The sequence below is a fragment of the Homo sapiens genome, chromosome 4 (genome assembly GCF_000001405.40).
Source record: "Homo sapiens chromosome 4, GRCh38.p14 Primary Assembly".
NCBI lineage: Eukaryota > Metazoa > Chordata > Mammalia > Primates > Hominidae > Homo > Homo sapiens.
Window position 1 is genome coordinate 82092081 of NC_000004.12, and position 12300 is coordinate 82104380.

The window sequence follows — 12300 nt, forward strand, 5'->3', positions numbered from 1 at the left end:
AGGCTGCAGACCCGTAGAGGACAATGACTGTGTTGGTCACCTTAACTGTGTCAGTGCCCACAGATGTTACATGAATGGATGCCTCCATCCCAGCGGGCATATGATTTTGTATGTGTCAGTGAAGATGGTCTAAGTTATATTGTGGAGGCTTAAACAACACAGATTTCTCTCTCATTCTTGCCACATCTTGAGTGCAGATCAGCTACAGCTCCATGTCAGGCTTCACTGGGGACCTAGGAGGCGGAACTCCAGCCTTCATCTGGAGTGTTGCTGAGCTCATGCAGAGGGAAAAGAGAGAATGGAGAGCTACATATTGGCTCTTAAAACTTTGTCTGAAAGTGGCTCATCTCTTCTGCTACTTATTTATTTGCCAAAGAAAGTCATATGGGTGTATCTGAGTCCAACAGGGTAGAGATGTGTAATCTTCCACCATGGAAGGCACTCATGTGGATGAAAGGTAATGTAATCTACCATACTGCACTTCTCCACTGTTCTGTGTTATCCACACATATTCTCCCTTTTCTTCTTCAGAACCAGTCTAGAATCTCTTTCCTGAAAACCTTGGGGCTAGATGCATTTCAGAATTCAGAATTTTTTGATTTTATAGTGCAATCATATTTAGGTAATACCCTGAATGGGATTTGAACAGCACCTTGTACTAGTATTTCTGTAGCAAAACACATAAATATCCACATTAAATGACATAAATAACTAGAAATAGCTTCATTTTAGTTTAGGTCTGGTATTTCCACCAAATAAGTTTGTACCAAACTTACAGAAAAATTTAGGATTTTCAGGGCTTTCTGGAATTCAGAATTGCAGGTAATGGATTGTGGGCAAATATAACCAAGAATTAGCTATAGAGTAAATCTGCTTTAATGTCTCTTTCTCCAACAGAAAAAAAGCAAAACTCAAATAAGTAAGGAGTTTAAAAGGAAAATGATATATTTTGGCAGTGCCATGAGACTTCCGTTCTACTTCCTGTCAGGAACAGTGTGAATTATGTCACCATTTAAACCCAAGAACACAAAGCATCCAAAGAAAATCAAACCGAATTTAAACATCCTTCAAATTTCTCTTTATTGTAGGTTTGACATAATTTATATCAAATATAATAGTTTATGTGAATAAACTCCAGGTAAGATAATAGTTTATCTGAATAAACTCCAGGTAGGGGTTTATTCCAATGTTTATTCCAGAATTTGGACCAAATAAGCAATAGATGCTAGGGCAATCATCCTAAATACATGTAAAAAAAAGAAACTTGGCCAGGCGCGGTGGTTCACACCTGTAACCTCAGCACTTTGGGAGGCCGAGGCTGGCAGATCACTTGAAGTCAGGAGTTTGAGACCAGCCTGGTCAATATGGTGAAACCCCGTCTCTACTAAAAATACAAAAAAAAAATTAGCTGGGTGTGGTGGTGGCACCTGTGATCCAAGCTACTTGGGAGGCTGAGGCAGGAGAATCGCTTGAACCTGGGAGGTGGAGGTTGCAGTGAGCCAAGATCGCACCACCGCACTCTGGCCTGGACGATACGACGAGACTCAGTCTCAAAAAAAAAAAAAAAGAAAAGAAAAGAAACTCCCCAAAAAACTGCATGCAAAGTAAATATCTCATACGAACCCCAGTCTTCAGGTCATCCATGGCTAATGAGATTGGTCGGCCTCCTAAGAACTATGGCAGTCAATATTTCACGAGGTGGTGTGTGGAAATGAGCAAGATGTATGATTCTCAATTCCAATACTTACTTACTGCTGAGATTTACAACACCCTGAGCACTCATTTCTTATGTATAAGATGAGTTTAGGAAACAATATTGCCTATCCTACTACATCACAAGATTGCTGTGCAGTTCAGATGAGAAAACATTTGCAAACTTACAGCTTCCTACAAGTACTAATCACTACTAAGATGGTTGCTCCTTGAAACTGTCCTAGGAAAGATAGTAGAATCTCTTTTCTGTCCATCCTGCTCCCACATAAACACATACAGAGACCAACTTAAGGATTCACTGGGCTCCTCTTATCTTAAGGTATATTCTGCTCCTTTAAAAATGATGTAAAAACATATGTTCTTATCCAGGTTTGGCTTTGTCTTAAGAGTCTGTTTGCTTTCTCTAGTTCCTTCTATTTAGGAAGAAAATTTCTAATTTATTTCTTGAAAAACTTTGTTAGTGATATCAACCTCAGTTCATTTGCCATGCTGCAGTGACCACCAACAAGAAGTCAAATTAAATCAGTTAAAAACAGAAAATAAAAAAGGATGAATTAGCACCATGCTAGTTCAGCTTGGGCTTTAATTCAGATAAGACACTAATATCCCAATATTAGGAACATAGTTGCAAGAAGTTAAGGCAGCAGGGTCATAAGTGATTTTCCTCTCACTTTATAATATATAAGAATTGGGATGAAAAAAATATGTATCTATTCGTTCCATTCTTCAATCTTGTTTACCAAGAAATTTTAGGTGGAAAAGTTGGCTCTTATGACATTTGAGTTGGGGGGAGGGATAAGAGTGTTTATTTTGGAGTTAGAATCATCAATTATAGTGGCCTCTTCTAGATTTTAAGCCTCAGTATTATTCAACTTAAGTATCTGATTTAGAGAGGTTTTTTTTACCCTTCTATGTATAGTTCATATTACAGAGGGTGTGGGAGGAATAATGCTATTAAGTCAGTATTTTGGAAGGGCAAATCTATTTTTATTTGTTATTCCTAAGAGCTGAAAAGAATGTAGGAAATATCTCTTGATAACTACAGGGAACTACATGAATTACTGTAAACAGAAATGGAATCACAGCTTTCATGTTCTTTTCTCCAAATGATTTTCCTTCAAGGTTCCAAACCCTAAAATACAGTTTTCCTTTTTAAAATGCCAAAGTCTGTACACAGCTTCATCCACACTTGAACAACAATAATTGGGTAGCTACTACACAGGAAATATGAGAGTGAGCAAATCAACATAGTGCCTGCTGACATAGAGCTTAAGTGAAGGTTTCAGTAAGATCTAGGTTCTGATGGAAACAGAAGCTGGAGAGCCAGGAGGGGTCAGTACCCGAGGCCTGCTTTCCTAGGTGGGGATCTGATAGATACTGCCAATGAGAGAGGCAAGGGCAGGTGAACAAGACTGCAAGATTCAGCCATATAAGAAGAGCACCCCATGAGCAAAGGAAACAGTCAACAAAGTAAAAACACAAACCACAGAATGGGAGAAAATATTTGCAAACTACCCATCTGACAAGGGATTAAAAACCAGAATAAATAAGAAGCTCAGGCCAGCCATGGTTGCTCATACCTGTAATCCCAGCACTTTGGGAGGCCGAGGCAGGTGGATCACTTGAGGTCAGCAGTTCAAGACCAGGCTGGCCAACATGGTGAAACCCCATCTCTACTTAAAAAAAAGATAATAATAATAATAATAATAATACAAAAATTAGCCAGATGCAGTGATGCATGCCTGTAATCCCAGCTACTCAGGAGGCTAAGACACGAGAACTGCCTGAACCCGGGAGACGCAGGTTGCAACAAGCCAACATCACACCATTGCACTCCAGCCTGGACAACAGAGCAAGAAAAAAAATAAAGAAGCTCAAACAACTCAATAGGGAAAAATCTAGCAACCTGATTAAAAGTGGGCAAAAGATCTGAACAGACATTTCTCAAAAGAAGACACAGAAATGGCAAGCAGGTCTATGAAAGATGCTTAACACCACTGATTGTCAGAGAAGTGTAAATCAAAACTACAATGAGATATAATCTCACCCCAATTTAAATGGCTTTTATCCAAAAGACAGGCAATAATGAATGCTGGCGAGAATGTGAAAAAAAAGGGAAACTTCATACACTGATGGTGTGAATGTAAAGTAATACAACCACTATAGAGAACAGTATGGAGGTTCCTCAAAAACCTAAAAATAGAGCTACCATATAATCCAGCAATCCTACTGCTGGGTGTATACTAAAAAGAAAGGAAATCAGCATATCAAAGAGATATCTGCACTCCCATGTTTATTGCAGCACTGTTCACAATAGCCAAGATTTGGAAGCAACATAAGTGCCCATCAACAGATGAGTAGATAAAGAAAATGTAGTACTTATGCACAATGGAGTACTATTCAGCCATAAAAAGAACGCGATTCAGTCACTTGCAACAACATGGATGGAATTCGAGGTCATTATGCTAAATGAAATAAGCCAGACAAACATCACACTTATTTGTGGGATCTAAAAATCAAAACGATTGAACCCATGGAGATAGAAAGTAGAAGCACAGTTACCAGAGGCTGGGAAGGGGAGTGGGAGGGGTGAAGAGGAAGTGGGGATGGCTAATGGGTACAAAAATATAGTTAGAAAGAATGAATAAGATCTACTATTTGATGGCACAAGGTAACTGTAGTCAATAATAATTTAATTGTACATTTAAAAATAACTAAACGAGTATAATTGGATTGTTGGTAACACAAAGGATAAACGCTTGAAGGAATGGATCCTCTATCTTCCATGATGTGATTATTACTCATTGCATTCCTGTATCAAAACATTTCATACCCCATAAATACATACACCTACTATGTATCCATAAAATTAAAAATTAAATTAAAAAAGAAGTGCATCCCAGGGAGGTCAGGTAAGCCGGGAGGCACTAATTGGTGCCATAGCTCTAGACAGACAAAGCCCAGAGTCCAGAATTATCAGAGAGATTCAGCAAGAAGGCAGGAACCAGTGGGCAACACTGTCAGAGACCCTGAAGTAGAAGCCCTTTGCTCTCTGCCTTATTCTATCCTCCCTCCCAACTCAGTGTGGGCAGCCTTGCTGCATCCCCTAGAAGTGTATGTAAGCACCACAATCGGAGGTCTGCAAGAATGTTCTAACTTTGATTGGCACCAAAGCAGAGCTGCTAGGCTCTCTATGAGGTCAGGATGGTGGCATGTCCAAGACCTCAGGGCACCCAAATGTTTTCTCTTGTAGCCAGAAAGAAACATCCAGAGCTTAAACAAGTGAGCCGTAACCCTCTCACTCTGCTCATGATGAATCTGGGCAGCACAGTGGAGAAGCAACAGTTTCTAAGTTAGTAGTGAGTGTTCACATACTCCCAATGTTAGAGTAACCTGAAAAATTTGGGGAATAAATCTAATATCTTTTTCTAAGATGTCATGTGACTATATCATGAACAGTAATGCTTCTATTAAATAAAATAGAGAGTGACTTTTCACTGATATACTTTATTAGGAATTATGTTGCTAGATACAGGAGTTATATAATAGGTATAGTGCTGTTCAAGTTGTCAGGAAAAGAAATGGATCAGAGCAGGAAAATATGTTTAAATGCTTCTTAGATACCACCAAACGGGTTGAAAGCCATGAAGAGGGATCATGATATGACTTTCTGTTTCGCGCACCAAGGAAAATGGGCCGACTGCATATGCATCTGGCACCACAGTTTTACTGCAGGCTTGCCTCACCACAGTGGCAGAAGGGCTGGCTAGCTGAAGGCCCAGGAGCTGTACAGAGCAGCAGATGAAATTGGCTGCGGCTCAGATGCAATTCACAGCCTACAAAACAGCCCACTTCCCTGTGGGGTTTTCTTCAAGGTCAGGACTATGCTCAGAAAAAAACCTCCCGTGCATGAGTCAGGCAGCCAAGTACAATTGTGGTTAAGACCCTCTGGCAGTGGTTAAGACCCATGACCTCCTGGGTCATGACACTGTTTGAGCCATTGCTTTGTCATCTCACCACGTTAAGAGTTTCCCATGGCCACCCAGGAGCCCTTCCCCACCACTAAGTCAGTCTCCTTGAAGCTCACTAGCTTTGCCATTTGTCTGGCACAAAGAGTACCACATTTATACTTTCTAACTCCAATTCAGCCATTTGTGGCAGCAAACTATATCTTCCATCCAATATCATTTGGAGCTTACAGTATGTTTCATCACTTCAGTCCATGCTACTCTGATACCAGCCATCGCTTTCATAATGCACAATCAGAAGACTCTAAGTAAGCATGCCTCAGAAAATGGGCCCTGATTGCTTTCAAACAAACCACAGAGCCCAGACCTTCTCCCTGCTATTCCGATCTTGTAGCTCTGTGGTAGGGTCCAGGGATCAAAACGGCGTTTCAGGTTATTCTAATGCAGGTCAAAAGACCTTACTTTGAAGAGTCTGAAATTACATCCCCTGGCCTTTGGACATATTTTAAACTAAAGTCAGAAAATGCAAAAAACACCATAAATTCAATTTCAACAGAAATTCTGATGTGGTCCTGTCACTGGTGGTTTTATCTGCGATATAAATGCTCTGAAGTCTAGCATTCATCTTTAGCATCTCAAGCCATTGACAAAAAGTCATAACTATTTTATGCAAATCATGATCCACAAACGACCAAAGAAACTCATTACCTTATATATGATGGACAGGTGCTGAGGGAAATTAAGCATTATATCATATCACCTAACCCCACATATTTTCCCATTTGGGTTCATAACCCATCATCTTGAACTTTTACTTTGTTTTAGTAGCGAGAATAATACTAGATTTATGCTTCAAGGCAATGTGCCTTGTGTAATGCAGTGCTTAATTTATGGTTGCTTTTAAAGCTGGTGATGCCAAACTTTGAATGAACTACTTTATTTTTCATCGTTTTAATTTCAAACTTCCTTTTGAGCCCAAATTTATTTTGCACTTCTACAGATGTTCTCTACCCTTTTTTATATACCACTACTATTAAAAGGTTATTTGGAATACAGAATGTATTATGTCTGCAAAAACTAAAGGAAAAGGGCAGAGGAAGATGAAGAGAAAAGAATAATAAAAGGGAAAAGGAGGAAAAGAAGAGGAAGAAGATAAAGAAAGGGAGGAACATGTCATCTGACCAGTCCCTTCCATGCAAAATTTGCTACTGTTCTTTTGTACTCCAGCAGTGCTCAATGACATCTTGTCCCACCTACCACCTTCACCCTTCCCTGCCACTTGCCCTATGACATGAAGTCCACACTATCTCTCCCAACCCCAATGATCTAGCCCAAGTGATCCCAAGAGGCTCTCAGAGATTCAGCAAATACTCAAACACACCTGGAGCCCAGCCCTCCACCTTCTTCTTGGAGAGGAGACCACTACAGGTAAGGCAAAGGCTTCTGTTCTTGCTCATGTTGGGCACGCCCCCCTTGTCTCACCTATGCTCCATCCAGCAACAGGGAGTTCACATGCTGCTCAGATCTGGCCATACTCCTGGTTTCTGAAGAGTAATTCAACCTCTGTCCCAGCCGCCCTGACTTGACACTCAATGAACACTTATAAGCATAATTAAGTGTAGGTACTGTTTTTGATGCTGGGATGGAGAGTTTAATAAGATTAGAAGCTTACAGTAGAGTAGGAGGGACAGACATAAAAACGGATAGAGAGCCCCACTGAAAGAGATGATGGAAGATTTCCTTAATCACCAGCATTGAGTCTTGAAGCATGAGCTAGCCAACTGAAGTAGTCAAATCCAGGGTTATATTACAAGACAAAAAAAAGGGGCCTAATGAAAGGCATGGAGCTGTGAAATATTTGGGGGTGCGGGGTGTACAATCAGCTCAGGAATATAAATATGGACCTGGAGACTTGGTGCATGAAGCTGAAGACCAGGCAGAGGCCAGAAGGCAGGGGGCTGAAGCCCTCCCTGGGTGGCTTGGATTTAATTTATGAGCAGTGAAGAACTGCCAATGAGTTTTTTTGTTTAAGGTATGCTCTGCCAGATTAGCAATTTAGGAAGCACCTATGGTGGTGGTGTAAATCCTGCATGTGAGGTGGGGTGGGTAGGTGATAGGGGAGCGAGATCCAAAGTATCAAGGCCATCTGGAAGCTTCTGCAATAGAACAATCCTGAACTGATGAGGGTCCAAATAGGGACAGAGTGAGCATAAAGGGGAAGAAATGGATTTGAACAACTCTTTAGAGGCTAAATCAATTGCGCATGCCAGAGAAGAATTCTAGGAAGAGTCCCAGGTTTCTGATTCATATGACTCAGCAGTGAGTTTACTGGAACAGAGAAGAAGGAGAAGAAATTTACTTGGGGATGTAAGGAGTTATTTATGAATTCATTATGAGCTCCAAACCCCTTTACACAAGCCACGCAATCCCTGCAAATTTGGAAGACTTTAAAAATGTTACTGGCAGTATCATAAAAGAACTATTTTCCCAAAGGGTTTGTTCACTGCAGTTTCATTGTCTGGAATTCAATTTGTACTTTCCTAACTCCATTATTATTACGGACATAAGCAGGGAAGGTGTGTTCTGCTTTCAACACTGATTTCATCACTCTGCTCATTTGATGCTAAACAGTAAACCCTCAGCCTTGGCTCCTGTCCACGTTTACCCATCGGTGTTCTTGGTGTCAAGGATCTGCTGCTGTGCTGGCCAGTGATTCAGCCAAGCTCTGGGGGCAGACAGGACAAGGGCTCCACAGGGTTGTTAAGAGAAAATCTTCAGTATTGTTTCTGTAATATCTTATTTCATACGTTTAAAGATCAAATATGACAATTTAAAAATAAATATTAATTCTAGATAATAGTATCCACAAATATTTATTTTCTGTATATTTCCTTTTTTAATCCTCAGATTTAATTTTTACAAGACCAGATCATAAATGTCTTCCATCTCCTTATTCCCACCAATCATCCTGCCCTTCTTCCCAAACACAAAACCCAGGGAGCTTTCTTCTTTCTTTGATAACTGTCAATTTGTTGCTTAAGGAAAGGAAAGAATGCAAAAAAAAAAAAAACTAGTAAGTTAAGAGAATACACCTTTCCAAATTGTTCCAATTAAAGTTCTTATTGAGATATTGCAGCATTACTAGAAATATGTGTGCATATAAATTTGTAGATAATATATGTTGTATATAATATGTTATAGGCTGGGTGCAGTGGCCTGTATCTGTAATCCCAGTGCTTTGGGAGGCCAAGACAGGAGGATCTCTTGAGGCCAGGAGTTTGAGACCAGCCTGTGCAATGTAGGGAGACCCTGTCTCTATGAAAAAAAAAATTAGCTGAGTGTGGTGGCGCATACCTGTAGTCCCAGTGACTCGGGAGGCTGAAGAAAGAGGATTGCTTGAGCCCAGGAGTTGGAGGCTGCAGAAAGCTACGATCGAGCCGCTGCAGTCCAGCCTGGGTGGCGGGGCAGGACCCTGTCTCTAAAAAGAAATAACAACAATAATAAAATATATATAATATGTTATATATAAAACATATGTATTTATATACATATATATTTTTAAATTTGAGTTAACTTACCACTTTCAATACATGTTTACTCTCCAAGAAAATGTACAAAGAGTTTAAGATATCAGTTCAAACTTCTTGGTACAATCTTTTAAAGAACGATTGATCCAAAATATCCTTCAAAGGTTTGACTAATGCCCCAGTTCAGCTTCCTGAGAAGCATGGAAGTTGCATGCAGGACACTTATTAGGCAGTGCTCTCAAGATCAATGACTGGAGGGGAGGGAGGAAACCAGCATTGGGCAGAGGAAGGAGTTGGGTCACAATGCAGGGACAACAATGGCTTCAGCTACTCCTAATGACGCTTCAGAGTTGTTCCCGTTAGGGCTGAAGGGACCAGGCCTTTATACCGCTGCATCAACCAGACACCCTAGTCATTAGACGCATTGGGGATAGGAGGGCGACCTTGGGTAAAGAGTCAGCAAGTTCAGCAAGAGTCCGCAGCCAAGGGCAAGTCCCAGAAGCTGAGTGCTGTCCACAGCCAACACTCCTACAGCTGGGGTAATAAGTCTTTCCGTAATAAGTCTCTCCATAATAACGTAACAGAGGGCTTCTGATAAGCACACCACACTACACTTAAGTTCTAAGAAAGTCAGCAAAACTGTCAATAATTACATCTGAATTAATGTAAGCATGGTGACCTTAAGCAAGTCACTTAATGCTATGGGGTTCATTTCCCCTATGTATCAAATGAGGCAGGATAGATCTTTGTCAAGTTTCTTCAACCCTAAAGGTCTAGATATGGCCAAATTTCTCACACTGTAGAGATGCATTTTTATAATCTCTATTTATACTTTCTATGCATATTTGGGGCCCTTTGAATAAACAACACATGCAATACATTTATGCGTACTTTATTTTTTTATTATTTATTTGTTTTGTTTTATTTTATTTTTTGAGACGGAGTCTCACTCTGTCACCCAGGCTGGAGTGCAGTGGCACAGTCTCGGCTCACTGCAAGCTCCACCTCCCGGGTTCATGCCATTCTCCTGCCTCAGCCTCCTGAGTAGCTGGGACTACAGGTGCGCGCCACCATGCCTGGCTAATTTTTTTGTATTTTTAGTAGAGACAGGGTTTCACCGTGGTCTCGATCTCCTGACCTCGTGATCCACCCGCTTCTGCCTCCCAAAGTGCTGGAATTACAGGCATGAGCCACTGTGCCTGGCTATTTATGCTTACTTTATATGACCTGAATTAGTGGAGCCACTTGGAATGTCTGGGCATTCGAAGGAAAATTTATAGAAAGATATTTCTTTGTTTTAATGACACATTATTTACCATACCTTCGATTTATTTGATTCTAAGACAATTGGTAGGAATATGTAGGTCTTCCATTGTGGTGTTATTCTCATTAGAAAATAGGATTTAAAAAAATCCTTTTGAGGACACAGTCTCCATTGAACATGTTGAGGGGAAAAAGCCAGGACTTCTGGTAGTACATCACCAATGAAGAGGACACAGCCAGAATAACAATGACATAATGCTCTTTATCAGTACAGTAAGAACTAAAGGAACATCCAGAGGAAATACAGGCTACTTCAGGAAATAGGCTGTTACAGTCATCTAACATCTCACAAAACAAACAAAGCCTTTTGGATTTGTTAGATATTTCCAAGGCTTCCACTAATCAGGACTGTCAACAGCAGAGAAGGAGAAATAGGAGGATTCTGAACATCTTAGAACTCTGGGTAGCAAATGAAATTGGCAAAGCAATAGTGATGTTGAGTTTTCTGGAGTTGGTGTCAGTGCCCAGATTCTGTTCACCTTAACTCAAAGGGAAAGTTTTCTCTTTTCATTCCCTCTTATCAAAATTTATCTCTATATTGTCATATATTTTTAATGGCCATATTCAGGGACATGCAGGAGATAGGTTGAGAATAGACTGCACTACACACTAAGGTGCTCCGCCTCCTTCCTAGTGACCACTAGCCTTGGAGGAGATGTAGAGGTGAAGGCTTGGAATACAGACAAATACCTCACTGTGGTACTGAGCGCAGGCCATTCTTGGTCCCTAAGTGATTCAAGCCACCTACTCATTTCCAGAAAACATTTCCAGAGATGAGAAAAAATGGCTCATTTCAATTGCCCGACCGATGGCATAGATGCAGTGAAAAGAGAACACTTTTGCACTGCTGGTGGGAATGTAAACTAGTACAACCATTATGGAAAACAGTATGGAGATTCCTTAAAGAACTAAAAGTAGATCTACTATTTGATGCAGCAATCCCACTATTGGCTATCTACCCAGAGGAAAAGAAATCATTATATGAAAAAGATACTTGCACATGCGTGTTTCTAGCAGCACAATTTGCAATTGCAAAAATATAGAACCAGCCCAAATGCCCATCAATCAATAAGTTGATAAAGAAAATGTAGTAAATGTATATGTATATATGTATATGTATATATGTGTGTGTGTGTATATTTATATACATATCATGAAATATTACTCAGCCATAAAAAGGAATGAAATAATGGCATTTGCAGCAACCTGATGGAATTGGAGACTATTATTCAAAGTGAAGTAACTCAGGAAGGAAAACCAAACATTGTATGTTCTCACTCATAAGTGGAAGCTAAGCTATGAGAACGCAAAGGCATAAGAATGACACAGTGGACTTTGGGGACTTGGGGGAAAGGGTGAGAAGGGGGTGAGGGACAAAAGACTACATATTGGGTACAGTGTATACTGTTCATGTGGTGGGAGCACCAAAATCTCAGAAATCATCACTAAAGAAGTTATTCATGTAACGAAATACCAGCTGCTCCCTAAAAACCTGTTGAAATATAAAACAAATTAAAAATAAATAAATTGTCCAACTGAGTCACTGACCTGGGGAGTCTGCATAAGACATGATATACCCTGCAGCGTTACATTGCAGGAGAAAAATATTGCCATCTTCTTTCAGGGAGGATTTTTTAAAACGACACAGTGGGCCAGGCATGGTGGCTCACGCCTGTTATCTCAGCACTTTGGGAGGCCAAAGTGGGTGGATCACCTGAGGTCAGGAGTTTGACACCAGCCTGGCCAACATGGTGAGACCCCATCTGTGC